The following is a 25,474-nucleotide window of genomic DNA, read 5'->3' as shown; positions in this document are numbered from 1 at the left end:
AGGGAGATTGAGTGATTGGGAACTGTGCAATGCTCCAAATCAAACACATGTATGAAACACACATGTAGTCATTTCCTAGGGTTGCTAAGCACCAAAACCAGATGGTATAAAACATACGAGTCCGGCATGGTAATGTGCAATGCTCCAAATCAAACACATGTATGAAACACACATGTAGTCATTTCCTAGGGTTGTTAAGCACCAAAACCAGATGGTATAAAACATACGAGTCAGGCATGGTAATGTATTGTCTCACATTTCTGGAGCCTAGAAGTCTGAAATCAAGGTATGAGCAGGGCCCTACTCCCTCTGAGACCTGTAAGGGATAGACCTTCCTTGCTTCTTCCTGGCTTCTGGTGTTTGCTGGCAATCCCAGGCCAGACCTTCCTTGTTTCTTCCTGGCTTCTGGTGTTTGCTGGCAATCCCAGGCCAGACCTTCCTTGTTTCTTCCTGGCTTCTGGCTTCCTGCTTCTTCCTGGCTTCCTGGATTTGCTGGCAATCCCAGGCCTTCCTTGTCTTATACATGCAGCACTCCAGTACTATGCTGTCTCTTCGCTGTGTGTCTTCACATCTTCTTCCCTCTGCATATCTGTCTCTGCGTCCAAATTTCCCTTTCTTATAAAGATGCAGTCATTGGATTATGGCCTACCCTACTAGCCTCATTTTAACTTGATTACCTCTGTAAATATCCTATTTCCAAATAAAGTCACTTACCGAGGTGCTGAGGTACTGGGGGTTAAGACTTCAACATATATTTTTGGGAAGGGATACAATTCAAACTATAATGCTATGCACACGCTGAGCGTAGAAATGAGTTTACTTGTGCATTCATGCAAAATTACAATGTGTTGGCCAGGCACAGTGGCTCATGTCTGTAATCCCAGCACTTTGGGAGGCCGAAGTGGGTGGATCACCTGAGGTCAGGAGTTCAAGACCAGCCTGGCCAACGTGGTGAAATTCCATCTTTACTAAAAATACCAAAAAAATTAGCCAGGCATGGTGCTGGGCGCCTATAATCCCAGCTACTTGGGAGGCTGAGGCAGAAGTTGCAATGAGGTAAGATCATGCCACTGCACTCCAGCCTGGGTGACAAGAGTGAAACTCCATCTCAAAAAAAACAAAAAAATTTACACTGTGTTCTACTGGTGTCTCACAATTCCTGCTGGCCCAAATACTCAAAATAAGTGATAAAAAGAAAATTTTAAGGCCGGGCGCGGTGGCTCACGCCTGTAATCCCAGCACTTTGGGAGGCCGAGGTGGGTGGATCACAAGGTCAGGAGATTGAGACCATCCTGGCTAACACGGTGAAACCCCATCTCTACTAAAAAACAAAAAATTAGCCAGACGCAGTGGCAGGCGCCTGTAGTCCCAGCTACTGGGGAGGCTGAGTCAGGAGAATGGCGTAAACCTGGGAGGCGGAGCTTGCAGGGAGCCGAGATCGCGCCACTGCACTCCAGCCTGGCGACAGAGTGAGACTCCATCTCAAAAAAAGAAAAAAAGGAAAATTTTAAAAGCAACCAGAGGTTGCAATTTTATAAAGACACATTATATACAGAAGAAAACGACAAGGATATTAGCAAATTTCTTATTTTGCTATGGAGAAGATAGCAGAACAGTATCTTTAAAGTACTGTAAAAAAAAAAAAAACCTGTCAATCTAGAATTCTATACCCAGTGTGATGGTTAATTTAATGTCACAAAGTTTTATATGGCTACAGTAAGGGATGCCCAGATATCTGGTAAAGCATTATTTATGGGTGTGTCTGTGAGGGTGTTTCTGGAAGAGATTAGCATTTGAATCAGTAGACTGAGTAAAGATCTGCCAGCCAGGTGTGGTGGCTCCTGCCTGTAATCCCAGAGTTTTGCGAGGCTGAGGCAGGAGGATCACTTAATGCCCAGAGTTTGAGACCAGCCTGGTTAACATAGCAGGACCCCATCTCTACAAAACATAAAAAATTACCTGGGCATGGTGGTGTGCACATGTAGCCTTAGCTACTCAAGAAGCAAGGCAGGAGGATCACTTGAGCCCAGTTAGTTCAGGGCTGCAACGAGCTATGATTGCACCACTGCACTCCAGCCTGTGTAAAAGAGTGAGACACTGTCTCAAAAAATAAGAAAAAAAGCCCAGGCATGGTGGCTCACACCTGTAATCCCAGCACTTTGGGACGCTGAGGCAGGAGGATCACAAGGTCAAGAGATCGAGACTATCCTGGCCAACATGCTGAAACCCCGTCTCTACAAAAAATACAAGAATCAGCTGGGCATGGTGGCGCATGCCTCTAGTCCCAGCTACTTGGGAGGCTGAGACAGGAGAATCATTTGAACCCCAGGGGGCAGAGGTTGCAGTGAGCCAAGATCGCGCCTCTGCACTCCAGCCTGGTGACAGAGTGAGATTCCATCTCTTAAAAAAAAAAAAAAAAATCTGCCCTTACCAGGGTGGGTGGGTATTATTTAATTCATTGAGGGCCTGAATAGAGCAAAAAGGTGAAGAAAGCTTTCTTTTTGAGGTAGGGTGTCTATCTTCTACCTTCAGACATCAGAGCTCCTGGTTCTCAGGCCACTGCACTGTGGGATTTATACCAGCAGCTCTCCTCATACTGAGATACACCATTGACTCCCCCGGTTCTTAGGCTTTTGGACTCAGAATGAATGACACCACCAGCTTTCCTGGTTCTCCAGCTTGCAGATGGCATATTTTGGGACTTCTCAGTCTCCATAATCTTGTAAGCCAATTCTCATAATAAATCTACTCCTATCTAGCTATACCTGTCTATATAGATGGTCCCTGACTTACGATGGATCCCTTTATGATTTTTTACTTTGTGATGGTGGGAAAACAATATATATTCAGGACGTTCCTCAACTTATGACAAGGAACGCCTGTATATCCTTCTGGTTCTGTTTCTGTGGAAAGCCCTAATACACCCAGTGAAAATATCTTCCAAAAATGAAAGTGAAAAAAATGATATTTTCAGAGGTACAAAAGCAGAAAGAATTCTTCACCAGCAGACCCACACAATATAAATGTTAAAGTCTTTCAGGCAGAAAAAAATGATACCAGATGAACTATGGATCTACACCAAATAATGAAGAGCATTGAAAATGGTAACTACATGGGCAAATATTCCCTAGCTTCCTAGTCTCACAGCCAGAAGCCCCTACCATGAATCATTTCTTGAGGTGAGAGGGGTTGGGGGGCGCAGGCAGGGGCAGGGGTGGAAGAGAAGAATTTCTACTTAAGTATTATCAGGACAAACGTCTGTGTGGCTAATTTTAGCTCTCCAGAAGAAAACTTCATTCTCATGGAAGTCTAGCAAACATTATTTTCAGGAAAACTGATTTATTCTCAAGAAGTGCAAATAATCACATAAGACCACAGAGTTCTGTCCCAGCTCATGTTGGGGATAATTGTCTTTCTCGTGCATTAGTAGAAATAAAATGATGCTTGCTCAAACACCAGCAACTTGTTTCACAAGTTGAGCGGTTCTCAAACATTACCTTAAATGAGAATCACCGGGTGGGCTTGCTGGGCCAGACTGGAATTGTTTGTGATTCAGCAGGTCTGAGATGGGGCTCAAAAACTTGCTTTTTTTTTTTTTGAGACGGAGTTTCACTCTTGTTGCCCAGGCTGGAGTGCAGTGGTATGATCTCAGCTCACTGCAACCTCTGCCTCCCGGGTTCAAGTGATTCTCCTGCCTCAGCCTCCTGAGTAGCTGGGATTACAGGCCCACCACCACCACACCCGGCTAATTTTTGCATTTTTTTAGTAGAGACGGGGTTTCACAATGTTGGCCAGGCTGGTCTGGAACTCCTGTCCTCAGAAGATCCACCCACCTCGGCCTCCCAAAGTGCTGGGATTACAGGCGTGAGCCACTTGCATTTCTAACAAGTTCCCAGGGGCTGCTGCTGGCTCCGGTCAAGGACCACACTTTGAGAACCACTGCGCTAGTTCGCAGTATGGGCCCTGTTGTTTATACTAGTATGCATTTTATGGAATCATCTGGGGAGCTTTAAAAATATATATATCCAACTCAAACCAATTAAATCATCTTTGGGGATGGAACACATGCATCACGTGGTTTAAAAGTTCTGCCAGGTCCCGACGGGCTGCCCGGCCGTGCACCGGGACCGGGTCGGGTGCAGAGAGCCCCTAGTCCTGGGAAATGGGGTGCAGCCGAAAAGGCAGCCACCCCCACGCCCTTCATACAAGGCACGTTCGTAGGGAACCTGGCGCTGAATCACTCAGAGACGACCTGCTTCTGGGTCGGGGTTTGGGGTTTCCTATGTAGCAGAGCAACTCTCTCGCTGAAATGTATTGAAAGTCAGCCCTGGACATATAAAAAATTTTTTTTAATTATTTCAAAAAAAATTCTGCCAGGTGATTTTAATGTGCAACCAGGGTTGAGAATTGCTAGTTCATAGGAAATTAACTGGTAGGTATATCTTCAGTATCTGAAACCAGTAAATACACAGGAATTCCCACATGAAACTTCTTGAAATGGCTGTGTGCTTGTTTATAGTTTAGGTATAGGTTCCTTAGTTATAGGTTCCTGTCCAGGTTATATGGGAGAGCAAGGATGTTGTGAGCATGAAATTCTTGTGCCAGTAGATACTACATCTGTATTATTTGTTCCAGCAGATGTGGCAGATGCTGATGTTATAATGTAACTACAATTACTGTTTGTAGTTCAGGCAACAGGACACAGGGGTTCTGCTTCCACATCAGATACATTGGTTGACCTAAAAGTAGCAACAGCAAAAGCTACCATCCTGAGTACCTACAAGCACACAATATAGTACACACAAAACCAGCTGCCGTAGTGGTAATCACTAATGGCTGTTGAGTTGCACAACTGGTCATAAATATTGTCATCATCCCTAATACAATTAAAAGTATAGTGTATATAGTGTAACAGTGTAGCCAAAATTGTCACCAAAGGGTAAATATAACTTTAGTCCATTATATCTTAGGCCTTTTTTTCTTAGCTTGTTCATCACCAGATGTGAGTCATCTGGTCTCTTAGTTACCTATTTCTGTTTCTGCCTTCACCACTACTTCCTTTTTGTTTTTTTGTTTTTGCTTTTTTTTTTTTTTTTTTTTTGAGATGAAGTCTCCCTCTGTCACCCAAGCTGGAGTGCAGTGGCGCAATCTTGGCTCACTGCAAGCTCCGCCTCCTGGGTTCAAGCGATTCTCCTGCCTCACCCTCCCAAAGTAGCTGGGACTACAGGTGCGTACCACCACACCTAGCTGTACTACTTCCATTTCTTTAATGCAAGTCTCTCTCTGAGTAATCAGGCCTCTAGTCCTGCAAAATAAGTGTTTGACACTAATAGAAGGTATTTATTCTAGCCTAAATAGCTATCCTCTCCTATCAGACAAGCTCATTTCCTCATTGGAGGGAAAACTCCTAGCAATGCTTCTTCTTTGCCTTGGGAATATATCCATTGAGTCCCATCAGCTAGAGGAAGGAGAAGAAAAACTGAATGCAATTAGGGACCCCACAAGCCTTTCTGAAAAGTAATTTTCCTCTTCTGCATCTGGTTGTGTACCATCACTTGATGCAGTATGGAAGTGCCTCAGATTCTCTCCAAGTGGTTGGAGTACCCTCTTTATATTCTTCATTTAATTCCCTAATCTATTGGATTCAGAGATGGAAATAACCCCTATTGTCCCAGTTTTCCTTTTTATAGGCTTGTGGTTCAAGTTAGAGCATCTATTTCATATATTTATAAACCTCTCCCTCATCAAGTTGGTATCTACATACATCAGCAGGGCTTTCTATAGTTACTTTTCCCAAGCTGGGTTTACACTAATTATCGAGGCATTTTGTTTCCATCTATGTGACCATATAGTCAGCCCATCAGCCGCAGCCCACCAATCACCTGGCTTCTTGTACTGTCTGCATTGAAACTACCTGGAGCTAAATATATTGTGCCAATTTGCTTGGTCCTTCTTTTCTGAGGGCATGTAGGTGGGAAGGCAGAGCCTAGCATTTAACTTTATTTCAGGTTATGGTGGCATTGCTATCCGTGACGCACTAGTAGTCTTTGTGTTTCCACTGTAAATCCTACCAGGGTATTTTCCTCTTATCACAGGTTCCCCTTTGATCTCAGTTGACACAGCCATCCTTCAGAATAGTGGAGGCCCAGTGTCTGCCATGCCGCCTTCTTGTGAGTGTAATATTTTGGCCCCTTCCTTAAAGTACGATTGATATTTTAATTCGCTCCAGATCTGAGCCATCACTCTGGACTGTTCGCAGTTTAATCTGTTTCAAAATATAGTTAGAAGCTTTGTTGCTACGATGTAGGCACCAGACCCATAAGACCTTCCAACTCAAGTAGCTCCAACTGGACCAAAAGTGGTTGTTTTTCTAAGGGCATAAATTTGTTTGTATCCCCTGGAATCCCTTACATCAAAATCCCACTGGTGGCTCCTGAAGCTTTCCTGACCTGATAGGGATCATCCACAGATCTAAGATCCAGAATCCAGTAAGTAATGCCACTAAAGAAAATTCTGAGACTAATGGGGGCACCTCTTTTTAATTGGGCTTGTATCAGTCAGAGTTTGATCAGAAAAACAGAACCACTATGAGTGATATAGCATATGGAATTTATTACAGGATTACCTCTTGTACAATTATAGCACCATTGTATAATATGAAACTATTCAAAGGAAGTAAAAATGAGCTCTAAGGAACATTCCCTGGCCCTAGAGTAAAGGGAACTGGCACATGTTCCTGGCACCATTTCAGATTTTCTATGAACCCAAGATGACTACACATCTCTGTTTCCATGGGAGTATCCTTTGTGGTTATTGTGTCCATCTCACTGTTGCATGTTGGGTAAGGGTGGAGAGTTCAAGATGGCAGGTACCTTCTTTCAGTCCACAGGTTCTAGATCAAGAAGAGCCATACTAGAAGAGAACCTGAACACCACTCCCAAAGAGCCTCATCCATGCCTGGATGTGATTTTGATGATGAGATCCTACACTTTAAACCAGAGCCTAATGCCATAACGATAGGAGGTTTTTGGCAGAGGAGGTAAGCATATTTTGCTTGTGGATGGGATGTAAATAACTGTGGCAGAAGGAGATATGTAACTAAAAAAGGTGACCATGGTATTCTCCAGCTCCTCTCATCAAAAGATGGACTCTATTTCCTCACTTTTTGAAACTGGGCTTCCCTTGTATCTCACTTCTACCAATAGAATGAGACAGAAATGATGAGTGAGTTCTTACAGGTTCAGCTCTTTTTCCTTCTTCTCTACAATTTACTACTGTTTCAAGTCTGCTGTGTAATCAGCACTGCACTAGTACATGAATATGAAGCTGAACCCCTCAGATTATATCTATTACAGCTTGCACCAGGTGGGACATGGAGCTGCCCACTAAGGCTTAGACTCCAGGAGGGTGAGTCAAGGAAACATCACCTTTTGGTTAGCTTAACTGTCAGGGTTTTTTCTTTTTTCTTTTATTTTTTTTTTACCAGAAGCAGAAATACTTTTTATTCTTTTAAAAATGTTTGTTATTTTTATTTTTTATTATACTTTAAGTTCTAGGGTACATGTGCACAACATGCAAGTTCATTACATATGTATACATGTGCCATGTTGGTGTGCTGCACCCATCAACTCGTCATTTACATTAGGTATATCTCTAATGCTATCCCTCCCACCTCCTCTCACCCCACAACAGGCCCCGGTGTGTAATGTTCCCCTTCCTGTGTCCAAGTGTTCTCATTGTTCAATTCCCACCTGTGAGTGAGAACATGCAGTGTTTGGTTTTCTGTCCTTGCGATAGTTTGCTCAGAATGATGGTTTCCAGCTTCCTCCATGTCCCTACAAAGGACATGATCTCATCCTTTTTTATGGCTGCATAGTATTCCATGGTGTATATGTGCCACATTTTCTTAATCCAGTCTATCATTGTTGGACATTTGGGTTGGTTCCAAGTCTTTGCTATTGTGAATAGTGCTTCAATAAACATATGTGTGCATGTGTCTTTATTGTAGAATGATTTATAATCCTTTGGGTATATACCCAGTAATGGGATGGCTGGGTCAAATGGTATTTCTAGTTCTAGATCCTTGAGGAATCGCCACACTGTCTTCCACAATGGTTGAACTAGTTTGCAGTCCCACCAACGGTGTAAAACTGTTCCTATTTCTCCACATCCTCTCCAGCACCTGTTGTTTCTTGACTTTTTAATGATCACCATTCTAAGAGCTTCTTTATTTCCAGTCCTGGGCTGAAGGAATCTTATTGTTGTGTTCCAGCTTTATTGAGATATAATGGACAGATTAAAAATTGTATGTATTCAAGGTGTACACTGTGATGACTTGATAGATGGATACATTGTGAAATGATTATCATAGCCAGGCACGGTGGCTCACAGCTGTAATCCTAGCACTTTGGGAGGCCGAGGTGGGGGGATCACTTGAGCCCAGGAGTTCAAGACCAGCCTGGGCAGCAAAGAGAGATCTCATCTCTACTAAAATTCTAGAAAAAATTGGCTGGGCATGGTGGTGCATGCCTGTAGTCCCAGCTAGTTGGGGGTGGGGAGAACGTGAGGGGTGCTGAGTTGGGAGGATCGCTTGAATCTGGGAGGTTGAGGCTGCTGCGAGTCCTGATTGCACCACAGCACTGCAGTCCAGGTGACAGAGTGAGGCTTTGTCTTTAAAAAAAAAAAAAAAAAAAAAAAGATTATCATCACCACAATTAGTTACTATTTGTGTGTATGTGGGGTGAGGAAGGGGGAAGCCACTTAAAATCCACTGTCTCCAAATGTCAAGTATACAATGCAGTATTAGTAAGTGTAATCAGTGTGTTGTATGTTAGATCCCCAGAGCTTAGTCATCTTAAACTGAAAGTCTATACCCTTTGTCCAGCATCTCCCAATTTCCCCCACCCCACAGCTTCTGGCAACCACCTGCTACTCTCTGCAAAGGCATCAGTTTTAATTTGGTGATTTTGAAAAGGAGAACCACACAAGTTTGGAGGGTTCATACAAACTCCAGAAATGGAGTGAAATAGTTAAGAAAGGGACGCTGAGCCTGTGTTAGTCCATTCCCACATTGCTAGAAAGAACAACCTGAGACAGGGTAATTTATGAAGAAAAGAGGTTTAATTGATTCACAGTTCCACAGGCTGTATAGCAAGCATGGCTGGGGCATCCTCAGGAAACTTAAAGTCATGGTGGAAGGGCGAAGGGGAAGCAAGCACCTTCTTCACATGATGGAGCAGGAAAGAAAGAGAGCAGGGGTAGGTGCTACACACACACTTTTAAACAACCAGATCTTATGAGAACTCAGTATCACCAGGAGAACACAGGGGAAATCCACCCCTATGATCCAGTCACCTCCCACCAGGTCCCTCCCCCAACACTGGGAATTAGAATTTGACAGGCGATTTGGGTGGGGACACAGAGCCAAACCACATCAGGGCCTATCAATCATTTCTCACTGAAATTACCAAGTCTAGCTACTTGTTTTTATTTTTTAACATTTCTAATGTCTTTATGAGTATCCTCAATTTTTAGTTTTCTCAAATTTGACTTTTAATAACACAGAATATGTTATAAGGCACATGCTGTTGATAGAGTTCCACTTTGTTTCAACTGTTAATGACTTGATGAATGTGATATTCATCTCCCTTCATGTGTACCTGTGTACATGCTCGTACACAGTGATATGGTTTGGCTCTGTGTCCCCACCCAAATCTCATGTTGAAGTATGACCCTCAGTGTTGGAGGTGGGACCTAGTGGGAGGTGACTGGATCATGGAGGTGGTTTGTAATGATGTAGCGCCATCCCCCTAGTGCTGTCTCGTGACAGAGTTCTCATGAGATCTGGCTGTTTAAAAGTCTGTAGGGTCTCCCCTTTCACTCTTTTCCTCCTGCTTCTGACATGTAAGATGTGCTTGCTTCCCCTTCACCTTCTGCCATCATTTTAAGTCACCTGAGGCCTCCCCAGAAGCAGAAGCCTGTACAACCCACGGAACCATAAGCCAATTAAACTTCCTTTGTTTATAAATTACCTAGTCTCAGGTATGTTTTTATAGCTGAGCAAGAATGGACTAATACACATAGCATGGTCTTTTTTTTTAATTGAGAAATAATACAGATACCATAAAAGTACCTTTTTAAAATTTACATTTAAAATGTACTTTAAAAATATAATTTAGTGGATTTTAGTATATTCTAAAGGTTGCACAACCATCACCATTATCCAGTTCCCAGAATGCTTTCATCACTCCAAAAGGAAACCTCCTACCCATTAGCAGTCATGCCCCCATTCCTCCTTACCCCCAGCCCCTAGCAACCATGTATCTGCTTTCTTTCTGTGTGGATTTATCTAACCTGGACATTTCATATAAATGCACTCAAACAATGTGTGGCTTTTTGTGCCTGGATTCTTCCACTTAACATGATGTTTTCACAGCATCCATGTTGTCACACGTATGAAAACTTTATCCCTTCCAATGGCCAAATAATATTCCATTGTTTGGAATACATTTTGTTCAGCCATTCATTGGTCCAGGCATTTTTTAGGCGGCAATAAAAGTACTCAAAATGAAGACACAGCAAAGCTCCAAATGCACACATCTACCCAGCAGACAAGTGACTTCACTGTCTACTATCACGGGGAGCAGAAAGAGTGCCCTGAATTGAGCTCCCCTCTGAGACCTAACCAAATGCACACCTGGCCCAACCTTTGTCTGGAGAGTTAATTTTGTGGTACCAATTTCTGTTTTAGTTTTTCTCTCTAAAATAACTTTATTAGTGTAATCACATTTTCATGTAATTCCTAATTACCCTTCTTGGTCTGAATTCCTATTATTAAAATGCCGTGTTTACACACTTGGTTTAGGGCTACTCTGATTTCAGCACATCACTACCGGATTTCCTTTAGCTGTTTCTTGGTTTCCTATTTCTTGCAGAAGATAAAAAAGACAAATAAGCCCTTCCTCTTCCTCCGCACCTCTCTTATCAAAAATGGTGAGAAGATAGCAGTGGTGCTATTCCTTGTGTTTTGGGAACACACGTGTCTTTGCCACTTGGTTGTACACACCGTAGTGGCTTTTACTGCTGCTAATGTCACTGGATCAATAAATTCATTCCTAATGAACTCCATTTAGATTCCATACAGTGAGAGGCAAAGTTAGGAAAAAAAGTAAATGAAAAAATTCAAAAGATTGGTGAGAAAACAATTGCTGTGAGAAAAGAGGAAAATAATTTTTTAAGAAACTAGTATCAAAATTGAGGGCAAAAGTTTTCAGAGGAGGTCTAAAATCACTGGGATTTGTTTTACTCATTTTTAATATACTTGCTGATGATGGAACAGACATTGCACTGAATCCCTTTGTCCCATAAGCAGTAAGTTCCCCGATCTAGCTGCTTCTTCCTTGAGGTAGAACTGAGACTGGGGTGGGTGTTTGTTTGCAGGGAGGAGGGGAGAGACTCAGGAGAGATGGCAGCCCTGAGAAAGACTTGGAATAGTACAGTGAGCAACAGGGAATTTTTTTTTTTTTTTAAGGAAACAGAGCAAATGGTTTTTATGTTGTCCTGAGCTGGAAGCACAGCTTTGGAGAGGACTGAGAAACTAGCTAAAGATCATAAGTTACTGTTTCTTGGCATAAATTTGTAAAGTTAACTGCCATCTATACCTTATCAGGAAATGTGACCATGCCGTATCCCCTCCTGTTTCCTACCAATGCTTTGGAGCTACTATCACAAGACCCTCAAGATTGTTATCATATGAGGAATTACAGGCTACGGGCACTGTTTTATAGATGTAAGACTCAAAAGCTTCCAATTTAAGTGTAGGAGACTAGAATATGCCCAAAATATGCCTCCTTGGCATAAGGATTATTTTCAGCTGAAGGCAATTGAGAAGGAGCAGATATTTTTAAAAAGTTCTCTATCCTACTCCTACTTCCCTCAAAACAAGATATAAATTTACAAAAGTATTCCTTCTCCCCTCTCCACTAGGAAACACAAAGTTTGATCACTAAAGGCAGCTTCTGTCAACACTAGAAGAACCTACATTAAAAACTTCCATTTATTTGCCTTACCATGGTTTGCCATCCTTTCTTCTGTCTTATTTCTCTAAGAGTTTATTCTTCTTTGTTGAAGATGCCATATATGCCTGAGTTCTAAGCCACCTCTTTGAGTATCTCCTATGTGTATATGAAATACACATGAATAAACTTCTGTTTGTTTTACTCTTCTCAATCTTTGTTATAGGGGCCCCAGACAATGAAATTAAGAGGGGGAAAAGGAACGATTATTTTTCCTCCTTTATACAACTTTACATTCAGTTCCTCATCTCTTTATTAAATTATCTTTAAAATTACAAAAATACATGCATGTAATCCCGGCACTTTGGGAAGTTGAAGCAGGAGGCAAGGTGTTCAAGACCAGCCTGGGCAACACAGCAAAACCCTGTCTCTACAAAAAATAATTTAAAAAATGTATCTGGATGTGGTGGCACATGCCTGTAATCCTTGCTGCTTGAGGGGCTGGGATGGGAGGACTGCTTGAGGCCAAGAGTTCAAAGTTATAATGAGCTATGATTGCACCATTGTACTTCACCCTGGGTGACAGAGCCTGGACTCTGTCTCTTAAACAAATAAACAAAAACAATGTAGGCTCACTGTAACACATAAAACAATATGCAGATATATAAAAAGGTATATAAAGAAAGTAACCTCTCCCTACCTTACATGGTGAATGTTAACAGACTAGTATATATTTTTCTATACTTCCATTCATTCATTCATCAGTAAATAATTGTTGAGCATCTATAATGTTCCAAGCATTGTTCTAAGCATTTATGGCAGATCATTGAACAAAAACAGATTTTTTTCCCTTGTGAAACTTAACATTCTAGCAGGGGAGAAATAAACCATTAAAATGTAATTTTTTTAAAAAAGTACAATGAGGTTTCTCAGGCAAATATAAAATGAACACATGTCAAAGACTCTATTTAATGTTTTTATTAATGAGGGAATCAGTAAGATTTTAAACTAGTCCAAATAGCAGCTGAGAAGATAGGTGTATATGTAGGCAATTTGATAAAGACATGTCAGGTTCAGGTTGCTGGGTTAATAACTTACAGGACAATAAACTGTAACCATTAAGATGATTTGCTGTGCTGGACAAACTTATTTACATCTCTAGTGGATGAAAATGAAAAAGTTAGCCTCTGCCCCTAAAAAGGTAATAAAGAAGTAGTAAAATAACCTAGTCAATAGGAATTTAATCCAGAATTGCATGGGAAGAAAGCCACAGTAACCTCTTTTGCCTATTTTAAAGTTTCAGATAATTGTTTTCTCTCAAAACCAAAAGCCATAATACATAAGCAAATTGTCATATTTCATCAAATATATGATGCCATCACATTTAGGAAGCATCAATATATTTGGTACCACTAAGAAAAAATTATTGACAAATTATATTATGCCATTTGTGGTAAAATGCATTCTGACCTTCAGGGATGTTAAAATGTGAAAAACTATAGTTTTTACAATCTAGAAAATACAGTATATGGCTGTTTATAAGACGGTCAGTGCTATGGAGGGAAAAAGCAAAAGAAAACAGGATAGGAAGCACCAGGAGTGTAGCAGGAAGGAAGGTAAACGTTGTAGAATTAGATAGGGTGGATCAGGACAGACTTCATTGAGAAGACGAGATCTGAACAAAAAATAGAAGTAACAGACTTAGTCAAATGGACATGTGGGAAAAGAGAATGACAGGAAAAGGAAGCGCTAGAGCAAAAGTCCTAAGGCAAGAGCTCACCTGGCATGCTGACAGGACAGCAAGGAGGCCACTGAGCATGGACCAGAGTTAGTGAGCAGGAGGATAGCAGTGAGGCCAAAGGAGGGAGGCCTTAGATCATTTAGGGCAGTTCTCAAACCTTCCTGCAAGGAAGGTGCCTGCAAATCACCTAAAGATCCTGTTAAAATGTAGATTCTGACTCGACAATCTAGCGTGAGGCCTCAGCTTTTGCATTTTTAACATGCTTCCAGAGGATGCTCATGTTGCCTTCAAATATTAATTAACCACCCCTACAGGATAGATCTAAGTTAGTACACATCTGTATCTCCCTGAAGGCTGAAGTATTTCAAAGAAGAGGTAGATATATAATGCACACATTGTTTGCCCCAAATCTTTCTCCCAGGAGTATGATTCCAAGATGATTCATGGCTCTTTGAAGTTGAGAAGCAATTCACACTTCAGAGGCTTTTAGCATCTGAAAGATTTCAATGAGAAGTCTATACTCCTGGGGCAGATACTACAAACACTTCAGCTATCTCTAACTCAGATCAATACTAGTGGCTTTAAGGATGTTTAAAAGTGAATTTTCATGGCCAAAATAAGTAATTTCAAGATGGACAGAATGAATAGAAATGTTGCCATGCCTTACATGATCAGAGTATGAGAATCTAGTGAGTCTAGCAATCTACACACTTTGGAAAGGTGCCCTAGATTTAGGATTTCAGACCAGCCCCATATGGAGAAGATTACAAGAAGATTTTGTCACCCAGCTCTAATGAGGATAGCTGAGTCTGCTATTAGAATACTGTCCCATCTTCCTGCAGTGGATGGACCTTTCATGCAAGATGCTATTCAAGCTCCTACACAAGGAAGTGGAACCTCACTGAGTTTGTATAACAGCTCTACTGCCTGTCTTTAAACCTTGCTAATAAACGTGTGAATGTGTAGAATCCCACCTCAGACTTGCTTTCATTCTCTCTTTGTAGTGGTAGCAAGGTTATGGTGGAACTTAGAAAACACATACTTCTCATTAGAGAAATCTTCCAATATCTATGCAAAGTTCCTAAAAACAACGAGAGAACAAAGTGGCTTAGGTCCAGTTCAGTTTTCTATAAGGTATCCACTACTTATGGATGCTATATGTATTTATCTGAAATGTGCCTGAAGGAGGGTTTGTCATTCATGCAAGTTTCCCCCTTTACACTTCCAGATTCTAATTGCAATTATGCAATTACACAAATTATTGAGGTAGAACATTAAATAGAAATCACTTGAATAACTTTTACTCTCTTTGGTTTTCAGGTAGAGCTTGTAAAAAAGTTAGTTCAAATCAAGTTGGAAAAAAATAATTAAGTTGGATGGCTAAGGCTTTTATAGAACCAGGAATATATCCAAGATACTTATAGTCTACTTGGGAATCTAAGTTAGAAACATGAAAAAGATTAATTAAAAAAACACCTAAAAGTCAAGCTGAATACCATTGACATGTTTTGATTTGAATTAAGAAGAGGATTGGTTGGAAGTAAAATTCAGGTTGATCCTTAAACAGTATGACAAGAAAAAATTATTTCTATTAAGAAAACAAACTATTTGTTTCTAACTGTCCCACCAGCCACATTCCAAGGACAGCGGATTCAGGTTGTTGGAGATTCTTTTCTTTCCTGGCCTTAGACATATTTAAAATGAGGACTGAGGAATCAGTGAGGGAATACAAGATTTCTATGCATAAGAAAGGCAGAAGGAGCTCAGAGAGCAGCTCCAGGGAACTGAGAACTGGAACCAGAGCTATAGAGGGCTCTGTGGGGTAAGGGCTGGGAGGCAGAGAGATGTAGGGAGGGTGCCTGGGACATGCAGTGTGCTCTCAGTAAATTCATTTGTGTGTTTAATATTTACTGAGTACCTAGTATGTTCTAGGCACTGTGTTATGTGCTAGAAATATGGCAGGAAAGAAAGAAATGAAGGAAGGAAGCCCTGTTTTCAGGGAGCTGATGTTCTAGCTGTGGGACAGAGATGCTGAACAAATATGTGCATTGGTGTTAAGCAAAATAAGGCAAAGTCAAAAGACAGGAAGAGGCAGGTAAGGTGCTGTTTTAGACAGTGTTTTCAGGGGAGCTGTCTCTGATAAATTGCATTCAAGTAGAATTTTCAAAATATAATTATAACTCTCATGCAAATATAAAATGAACACATTAGTTAATGAGGAAACTAAAAAGACATTAAGACTGTTCAAAGAGCATTTGTGTAGCTACATACTTACAAGCAATTTTATAAAGAAATACAGTAAGATTACTAGATTAGATTTTAAAATGAGAAATGCTCTCTAGTGCAATAAGAATAAACTTTGGGGTTAACTTTTCCACTGGACAGAAAGATTTGCATCTTTGTTGGACAAAAATATACAAGTTAGCCTGTGATTTCAATGCCCCAAATCTTTAAGAGTCTGAACAGGTGACATTTGTTCAGAGACCTGAGTGACATCAAGAGCAAATAGGTGAGTAGATGAAGAGTGAAGAGGGGAAGGACTGAGTGTCAAACTCCCTCCCATCTCTCTCCTACTCCATTCACTGCAAAATATTCCCTTCTCATTGATATTTGGAGGAGTGGGTTTACCTTGGGGAAATGAAAGGAAATACAGAGTCCTCTAGGCTGATGAATGATTATAGAGGATACCCTGGAGCTCAGCACATCTGGACATAAGATTAGGGAGCAAGGAACAGGGTGGGAAGGCCAGCAAAGACTCAGAGGTGAGGACACTGGGAAGAGGGTGGGCCAGCAAGTAGCTGTGTTGACTGCAGAAGATTTCACGTACTGGTTGAAGGGACTCATCTCTACTCCTCCTGTAAAAGGAGGAAAAACATAGTTATGAACTCTCGAGGGATAGTGTGAAAGGCAAGAGAATCCTTCTGTCTTTCAAATCGACATCCTCAGCATGTTCTCCCGCTGTCTCCTGGTGCTTGGGTGGCTGCTGCTGTTACACCCACAGCCATTTCCTTTAATAGGGAGGAAAAACCTTTCCTAATCCACTGTCTATCTTCCTCCCAACTTCTGCTATGTCTCACCGGCCAGAACTTGTGACCACCCTAGCGGGAAAGTAGGCTCAGAAAGTGATCTTTTTGATTTCTTAACTTCTTTATCGAAGGTGAACAAGGGAGAAGGGGGTGAGGAGTGGGAATGGATGTTGGAGCTAGTAAACCTAGGGTCTATGTGTTGTATTTCTTTTCTAATTCGGTCTCGAGGTCTCTCTCTGGGAGTGGTTATAAACGTTAGCTCTTCCGTGATGGGGCTTGGATATTTACAGTGTGCCTTCCATGGAATACTTCTTTATCCTGGCAGACGGCCTAAATCCTAGGTGTCTGACCCATGACAGGAGGTCCCTCTCACAGGAAGCTTGTTTATATTAGCAGGCACATTTGTGGCTCTTGTCTGCCCCGTGTCTGGTTTATTCCAACCAAGACAGCCACTCTCTAGGAGAGCCCTAACCAGGAAACAAGTCAGGTGTGGGTGTATAGGTCAGGTGAGACACAGAGGAGGTGAACAAAACATGTGAAATAATAGAAGCAGTTTCATTACTTACAGATCCATAATAAGAGGACAGCATGCCTCACAGGGCCAATGAGAAGGGGGACACACATGCTCAACCAGTGGGAGGGGGACGAGACAGAGAGAGGGACTTGCGGGCCAAAGCCTTCACTGTGGTCCTGGGTCCAACATCTTAGTCCCACTGTGACTAAGAGGTGGTCACTGAGGCATATCTGCAAAGTATATGTGGGGTATAGGGGTCAAGGGGATGAAGCAAGCAGCTTGTACCTGATGGTTCGATAGGGAGGTGGTCACCAGAGGCGGTCATACAAGGCAGATGTCTGGACTGACCACATAGAGGAAGTGGGAGGAGGCACAGAACTAGAGACTGTCCAGGGTGACTAAGCCCTGCTTCTAGTTTGAGAAGGTTAAACCTGTCCTCAGAATGGATAGTGAGGCCTTTGATATGTTCTCCCACCTCTTCATCAAGCATATTGACAAATCCTTTTTCACCAACTTGTCTTGCTATAACCGCCCAGTAGGTTCACCTTGCCGTCTGCCTAGATAGAGCCAATTTATCAAGACGGGGAATTGCAATAGACAAAGAATTCATGCAGAGCTGGCTGTGTGGGGGGCCAGAGTTTTATTATTACTCAAATCAGTCTCCTCCAGCAGTCGAGTTTTTAAAGACAATTTGGTGGGTGGGGAGGGGCAGTAAGTCAGGGAGTGCTGATTGGTTGGGTCGGAGATGAAACTATGGGGCATCACTGTCTTCTTGAACTGAGTCAGTTCTGGGTGGGGGTCACAAGATCAGATGGGCCAGTTTATCATCTGGGTGTTGCCAGCTGATCCATCAAGTGCAGGGTCTGCAAAACATCTGAAGCACTGATCTCAGGAGCAGTTTAGGGAGGGTCAGAATCTTGTGGCCTCCAGCTGCATGACTCCCAAACCATAATTTCTAATCTTGTGGCTAATGTTGGTAGTCTAGACCCCAGGCAAGAAGGAGGTTGGTTTTGGGAAAGGGCTTTTATTGTTTTTGTTTTAAACTGTAAATTATAAACTAATTTCCTTCCAAAGTTAGTTCAGCCTATGCCCAGGAATGAACAAGGATAGCATGGAGGTTAAGGACAAGATGGAGTTGGTTAAATTGGATCTCTTTAACTGCCTTAGTCATAATTTTGCAAAGGCAGTTTCATTGCTACCTGAATGATTTTCCTAACTTATCCATCAATCTCCTGGAAGCCTTTCTCCTTAACCAATGTCTTCAACTCTGCCAGACATGTGGCAGCTTCTTCATCAGCAGATGTGGCCTCTCCAGTTATTTTTATGTTTTTCAGTCCAAACCTATTCCTGAATCTGTGTAGCCATCCCTTACTTGCAGTAAATAGCTTGGTGTGCCTAATTTCAGGGGATCCCTTTCTTAAGTCTTCCTATAGGCTCAACACTTTCTGGCAAAACTTACTGCGGTCAGCTGAAATACGTTTTCTGTTCATGTCTCCCACCCACAAATGTAATGCCTTTTCCGTCTTTTGCTGTTGCACCTCAAACTACAAAAGTTACAGCCACAGTGCATGATAGGTGCTTAGTTAACTAGCACGAATCTTTTTCCTTCTTCACAATTTCATGGATAATTTGTTCTTATCATAGATTTTGGCAACCTCAGCATATGACTCTTTTTCTTTCCTTATTAAGTCCAGAGCTTTCACCTTTTCATTTAAAGGAAGCACTTTACAGCTTCTCCTCGGCATATCCAAATTGTCAGCACAATTCCTGTGCTTTGCGGCCATTATTAAGTAAAATAAGGGTTACCTGAACATAAGCAGGTGGTATCTCTCATTATCTCTGCTATACTACGGGTGCATCTGTTAACCAAAGCAGCTACTGAGTGGGTAATGAGTGGATACTGTACACAGCGCGGCTACCTGCGACAGATGATTCGCGTCAAGGGTGGGACAGAGTGGATGGCCCGAGATTTAATCGGGCTACTCAGAATACAGGCGGTTTGAAACTTAAGAATTGTTTATTTCTGGAGTTTTCCATTTAACATTTCTGAACCAAGGTTTGACCACAGGTAACTGACACTGCAGAAAGCATGGAGGGGGGCAAAACTACTGCATTAATATTAAAATTTTCAAATATTACTTTTTGCTAAATGAAATGTGATTCAGGACCTTCCCTCTCAAAGATCAAGCGAGATCACCACGACCTCCGCCAGCAGCGGCTCTGCACGACTCCACCCTCGCAGCCCAGCCAATCAAAGCTACAGGTTGAGTGACGTCACTCTCCTGAAAGTCCTCGCTAATTCCCGTACTCCTTTTCTCCGCCCTGCACCTCTACTGTTTGCTACAAGTGGCCAGCAGCCATTTTGGATTTGGGCGGAAATGAAATTAAAACTGTGCTGTTAAAAGCCTAAAAATTCAAGTCAAGACAAACTTAAGCATTCGACCAACACATCTAGAAAGGGGGCATCTTCGTGGACTAACTAGACCACTGGGGCAGTGAGTGAAACTCGGTATCGTCGCGGCGCCCACACTTAAGATGGCACCGGCCTGAGACTCAGCTGTGCGGCCTCTCTACCTCGGTTCCTGGTTAGTTGGCCTCATTGGTGGCGTCGGAGGGAGGAAGGTGGGCCTTCTGTCCCGTTTCCGGACCCGTCTCTATGGTGTAGGAGAAACCCGGCCCCCAGAAGATTGTGGGTGTAGTGGCCACAGCCTTACAGGCAGGCAGGGGTGGTTGGTGTCAACAGGGGGGCCAACAGGGTACCAGAGCCAAGACCCTCGGCCTCCTCCCCCGCCGCCTTCCTGCAGGTAACAGGGAGCCCTGCGCTGCGCCCCCAGTCCTTGCAGGACTGCGCCGTGGGGGAAGGGGCCGGGCGGGGAGGAGGCGGCGGGCGCGCGCCCCGCTCGCGGGTCTGCGCTCTGGGGCCCGCGCGGGAGCGAGCTCGGCGCGGCGCCGGCGGCCGGTTGAGCTGTGCTCTCAGCTTCGGAGCAGCCTCCCCTTGCTGATTGTGGGGCGCCCTGTAATCTGCGCTTCGCGGGCGGCCCCCGACGGGTGAGGCGCCCGCGGCCAGAGCTCTCCAAGGCGGCCGCGGAGTCGGTCCTCGCAGGGAGGTGTGGAAGGTGAGGGGCCAGCGAAGCGAGAGCGGCGCCTCGGCCCTTCAGTGACCCCGCGGGGTCGCGGCAAGCAGGGCGAGGGTGCTCGGCTGGGCGGGTCACTGTCCCGGGGCGGCAGTGCCCGAGCCCGGGGGGATCCTGGGGGCGCGCCCGCCCTCGGGAAGGCGGCCTCATTCTTGATCCAAGACCAGTGCCCGTCCCCCAAGGCCCAGCTGGCTCCTGTCTTGGCATAGTGCTTTCTGTTTAGAATAAAGATGAAACATTTCTCGGAAGAGCATATTCAGGAATCCATGTGAAATTCTCGGAGTCGGGTCTCGAATTTTGGGGGTCACTGTTAACTGCTGTTTTTAGGGACCCATGTTCTTATAAAATGTATCTTGAGCTGAAATCACAATTATTTTGGTCCATAAAGACTTAATTGTGTATTGCTTGTCAGCTAGCAATGCTGGACTGAGTTCCGCAGAGGGAATATATACCTGAAACACGAAAGCAAGGGCCGGAGTAACGTTACCGCTGGATACCAGAATATCAGCCAGTACAGTGCATCCTTAATACTCAGAGTGCAAGCCATTATCTTTGGAACTTTCAAGCTAAGGGAGCTAGGACCAAGGTAGTCTCGAGTAATTGCTGGGAAAAGAAAATATTTGGTAGAAACATTTCCATAGAGCACACGGGTTTCTTAGTTGAGTGTATGAGTTGCCCTTTGACCTAGACAAGGGTTTTCTTAATCTACAAGCGGTCCAGAAATTTTATGTGCTGCCCAAGTAGGCAAAAGAGTGGAGGGAGATTATTAAAGGGAAGACTGATGCATATTCAAGTCAGAGACTGTCAACTCAGCATTTTATTATAGAGTGGAGATGCTAAGTGCTACGAAATACCTATTACGGGATACTAGGATATCCTTTTCTACCTTCTTGTGACTTTTTAATTTCAAAGCTAATGAGCAAGATTTTGTGTTTTCCCCGTCCTCAAAACAACAGGAAAGCATTTTGGAAGGCCAAGTGTTTTTCTTACATTTCAATAAATCAATTTTAGCTGAATTATCATTTTTAAAGCACTGGCGGGCATGGTGGCACATGCCTGTAATCTCAGCAACTAGGGAGGCTGGGGAGGGCAGGTAGCTTGAGCCCAGGAATTCCAGGTTACAGTGAGATAGGATAGCGCCAATGCACTCTAGGCCAGCAGCAACAGAACAAGACCATATCTCTATTTAAAACAAAAAACAAACAAAAAAACTTCTTCATATAACAGTATTTGTGCTTCTTTAGATATATTAGTGTGAAGAATTACTGCTTCAAAACATTCTCAAATTGCAATAATCAGCACACCTTTTTAATTTTCCCCCAATAAAGTTTGCACTGGGAACATACAATATAATCTTACCACTGTCAGTATTACACTGATGGTATCAGTGGACTTCTGTCAAAGTTAACATGCTTTCAAAACAAGAAAATGGCATCCTTTCCAGTTCTCTCAAGAAATTGAGTCATCCCTTTTTAATTTTTAAGTGATTTTTTTAGTCTTAGACCTAAAATACAGTAAGAAAAATGAATTTTAACTACTTCCTAATGCTTTTATAACTTTGTTAATTATAGTGGAATTCATATGAAATCTAAGGTTAATAGCTATTGCAAGGCCAATGTTCCCACAAGGAAGTATTTTGCTATTTAGAAATAGCTAAGTAAATTAAATGTTCCTTTCTCTTGCCTCTGGTGACTGCCATTCATCAGCCAGAGCACTGACCCTGAATCCTGGTGGCAGTCTTATCTCCCATGAGGATTAATATTAACACTTAAATAAACAGCATGATTTCCTGCGAAGAAGATATTCATTAATATACAGTCCCTTATTCTCTGCTTTTCTCTTAATTGTGTGTTGATTTTGGAAAGCTGTGTTTTGTGGGTGAGAGAGAGACGGTCAGACTAGCTTCAGATACTTTCAAAGTAACACTTCTGTAACTCACTCTTCCAGTCTGACTGGCTTTTCAGGCAGGAGTTGGAGACCAAGTAGAGCTTTCTGCCTATGAAATGGCAATTAGTTTCAAAGAACATAGACCCATTCAAGTTACCTGAGGAAAAGGGGGCTGGTTGTAAGGGTGTCAATGGGATGTTAGGGTATCTGGGTGGAATTAGATTTGAGGCTGGGCTTCCGGTAGTCTTGAGATGGATAGTAGTAATGTGCCCCCTAAGTATGACTAAGCTACGGTCCCAGTGTTTGCTTTTTAAAATTTTACTACCAACTGACTTCCTCTGGAAAGTTTCTGACTTCATGTGGCTTTGGTTTGCCGTAGCTCCACCTCCACCTCATAGCATCCTTCTACCTTCGGCTATGCTTCTAATAGGCAAAAATTGTTCTTAGTTCAAATTCCTGGGGGAGACAATGATCTGGCCAGTTTATCTCTTCACTCAGGCCATGAAATTGATGGCTAATTTGTGAATTAACCGCCCTTTGGCCCAGGATAGGTACCTGCCAACATTAACTGTGCCCAAGAAGAGGTGGCAAGATCAAGTGCTAAGCATAATCCTCCCTACTCAGCAGGAGGTTGTGACAATCTGGCCAGCACTCTATCTCCAGAACAGAGGGATTAGCATTGTTGCTTTTACCCATGGTCCCACATAAACTTTTTATTTGTAGTCCCAGTAGAAAGGTGAATGTTACCATAGTTGCCATACTTGGCATTTCTTTTAGTACTGTTTTTTGCTTCTCTGTCATTTTTAAGAAAGATACATTGCCAGGTAGGTAGGAATTCAGTGAATTTGTTACAAAGCAGATTTAGTTCTTATTCTCAGCAACATTTTTAGATTTTGAAAATCTTCAATTTTAGATAGCTTTAGCCTTTATACATGTGTTTCTTATATAACGATGGTTGTGGATCGGTAGGCACTTTAAATTTTGTTCTAGGCATGTGTTTTGAGCAGCATTACATACCCAGTGTAGAAGGTGTTGTATGGAATTTCACCGAAGTGGGGAAAAATTCCAAGTAGAGGGTCAATGTGTAATGATTATTGAGTTTATATTTGTCCAAAGAATACAGATTTTAAACAAATTTTTAAAGGCCTACATAGAATTATTGGCCGTATTTGTAGCAGTTTGCTTTCTACATTGCCAGAGTTAGTAAGAACTCTATTTTCTAATTTTTATATTATGGTAAAGCCACCACTGAAAACTGACTGCCACAGATTTTTCAGACATACGTTGTTTGGCCTATATAGGTTTAGAAAACATTTGATTCAACATTGAAAAATATGGAGATTTCCACAAAACTATTCAGGCTCTTGGTTCCTCACGATAAGTGGCATGATCTGACAGTTCTGAAACTGCAGTCCTGGTTGGAACTCTGTGATAGCCACTGTCTTCAGAATGCAAGCCTCTCACAGTAGGTCCCATGCACGCACAGTAGGTCCCTCTGCCAGGCTGCCAGTACTGCTGGGGCACTGCACATTACCTGTTGTCACCCTGTGAGTTTGTATCCCTGTTGTCAAGAAAGCTGTTCATATTGTAGAAGATTTGGAAGGTGCAGGCAAGTGTGTGTGTATAAAATTACCTATAATCTGACCTTCCACTGGAAACCTCTGTTAATACTTCAACATATATTTTTCAAGTCTGTGTGTATGTATACATATATTTCTTTTCAAAACAACTTTGAGGCGTAATTGATACAGAATAAATGAAAAAAGTGTACAGTTTTATGTTTTGACATAATCACCCGTTACCATCATCATCATCAAGATAATGAATATATCCATCCTCCCAAAAGTTCCTCATACATCATGATAATCCTTTCCTCTCCCTTGATCCCTCTAACTGTGCCCCTTCACTAGGTGAGCACTGAAGTATTTTGTCATAGTTGCATTTGAATTCTGTGTATGTGTGGGCTTTTGTTTTTTTTTAGCAATTGAGATTATTTGAGATTCAGTTTTGCGGTTTCCCCTTTTTACTTAGGATAGCTTTGAAGAGTAGTGCGATCGTACTTTTTCTTATGTTTATCGTCATTTGTGTTTCTTCAATGAGTTGTCTGTTTTCTTTCCCATTATTGTACTGGTGTTTTAGTGTTTTACTTGGTTTATATGAGCTCTTCATTTGTTAATATGTTTTTCATCATATTAACAATGTTTTTCAACATATTAATATTAAAACCATGATTTTCCTCATTATAAGTATTCTCCAATTTGTATTGTTTTCCTTTATAATTTTAAGTTATTTTCTACATACAGAAGTTTTATTGTTTTTGAGTAATATTTTTACAACATTTTCCTTTGTGAGTGAGGATATACAAGTGAGTTAGGAAGTATGAATTACCTTATTCTATTTTTGATTGCCTTTCCACTCTGAAAGTTTGTATGTGGTGGAGTTTGGGGAGGGACAGTAACTACCTGTGACTATTTAGTAATGTGCATTTTCTCTAGAGCTGTTAGTTGTTAATTAACAACCATTGCTGGTAACTTGCAGAGCGTTTACCATTTTTACTGTCAAATGTCCTAGTTATGAGGATCAAAGAAACTAGTAGTTTGGGGTGGCTATGTCTGGATATCTCTTGTTGATGTTGCAGATAGGGATTTAATGTTTGAAATTGTTTTCTGTTTTCTTTTAGATCTGCTTGGCTTTGAGGAAGAGTGGCAGTACTGCCTCACTGCATAAGGGATGGGATCAGAGAACAGTGCTTTAAAGAGCTATACACTGAGAGAACCACCATTTACCTTACCCTCTGGACTTGCTGTTTATCCCGCTGTACTGCAAGATGGCAAATTTGCTTCAGTTTTTGTGTATAAGAGAGAAAATGAAGACAAGGTTAATAAAGCTGCCAAGGTACCATAATAGGTGACGACTTAATAGTTAGTACTTTTTACTATCTTGTTTTCTTTTAAAAAAATATGAAATTAGTAAAGTTCAAAGGAGGTAAGATCATAAGGACCAGTATTTTATTTATGTCCTTTCAAAACATTGCTCTTACTTCATGGGCCTATCTTCCATTTGCATGACATGGTCAGGTACCATACCTGTAGCCAAAAAACATCATAAAACTCAGTACAATGGCTTTTATCATCATATTTTATTTTTCTGGTGAGAAA

The 25,474-nt window shown here is 42.1% G+C and overlaps 1 protein-coding gene across 8 annotated transcripts in view, besides 6 other annotated features; it reads left to right on the top strand.

Moving 5' to 3' along the window:
• Positions 19,564-19,973: an enhancer, noted in NCBI's record as "active region_2081". NCBI's record gives its function as "activates an Ori minimal core promoter by ATAC-STARR-seq in GM12878 lymphoblastoid cells {active_cell/tissue: GM12878}" and the evidence as "EXISTENCE:reporter gene assay evidence [ECO:0000049][PMID:35858748]".
• Positions 19,564-20,253: a biological region, named in NCBI's record as "H3K27ac hESC enhancer GRCh37_chr1:169862793-169863380".
• SCYL3 (SCY1 like pseudokinase 3) overlaps positions 19,619-25,474 on the top strand; it is a 44,638-nt gene continuing 38,782 nt past the window's right edge. For 3 of the 8 annotated variants that reach the window (NM_020423.7, NM_181093.4, XM_047425909.1), the window contains exons 1-2: positions 19,991-20,099; positions 24,997-25,211. In NM_020423.7, coding sequence (NP_065156.5) covers positions 25,047-25,211 — 165 coding nt within the window. In that variant the 5' untranslated portion in view covers positions 19,991-20,099; positions 24,997-25,046. Of the gene's footprint in view, positions 19,881-19,990; positions 20,412-24,996; positions 25,238-25,474 lie in introns of those variants that run through there. The other 5 variants (XM_017001863.2, XM_011509801.2, XM_017001862.2 and 2 more) reach the window with 3 other exon arrangements.
• Positions 19,648-20,235: an enhancer, noted in NCBI's record as "H3K27ac hESC enhancer chr1:169862793-169863380 (GRCh37/hg19 assembly coordinates)". NCBI's record gives its function as "activates a minimal SCP1, AML or CMV promoter by ChIP-STARR-seq in naive and primed H9 embryonic stem cells {active_cell/tissue: H9 hESC(naive and primed)}" and the evidence as "EXISTENCE:reporter gene assay evidence [ECO:0000049][PMID:30033119]".
• Positions 20,174-20,253: a silencer, noted in NCBI's record as "silent region_1548". NCBI's record gives its function as "represses an Ori minimal core promoter by ATAC-STARR-seq in GM12878 lymphoblastoid cells {active_cell/tissue: GM12878}" and the evidence as "EXISTENCE:reporter gene assay evidence [ECO:0000049][PMID:35858748]".
• Positions 20,236-20,823: an enhancer, noted in NCBI's record as "H3K27ac hESC enhancer chr1:169862205-169862792 (GRCh37/hg19 assembly coordinates)". NCBI's record gives its function as "activates a minimal SCP1, AML or CMV promoter by ChIP-STARR-seq in primed H9 embryonic stem cells {active_cell/tissue: H9 hESC(primed)}" and the evidence as "EXISTENCE:reporter gene assay evidence [ECO:0000049][PMID:30033119]".
• Positions 20,494-20,553: a silencer, noted in NCBI's record as "silent region_1547". NCBI's record gives its function as "represses an Ori minimal core promoter by ATAC-STARR-seq in GM12878 lymphoblastoid cells {active_cell/tissue: GM12878}" and the evidence as "EXISTENCE:reporter gene assay evidence [ECO:0000049][PMID:35858748]".

Source organism: Homo sapiens, chromosome 1 (assembly GCF_000001405.40).
Source record: "Homo sapiens chromosome 1, GRCh38.p14 Primary Assembly".
Taxonomy (NCBI): Eukaryota; Metazoa; Chordata; class Mammalia; order Primates; family Hominidae; genus Homo; species Homo sapiens.
The sequence above is the reverse complement of the archived record's forward strand: the minus strand, read 5'-3'. Positions and strand labels throughout refer to the sequence as shown.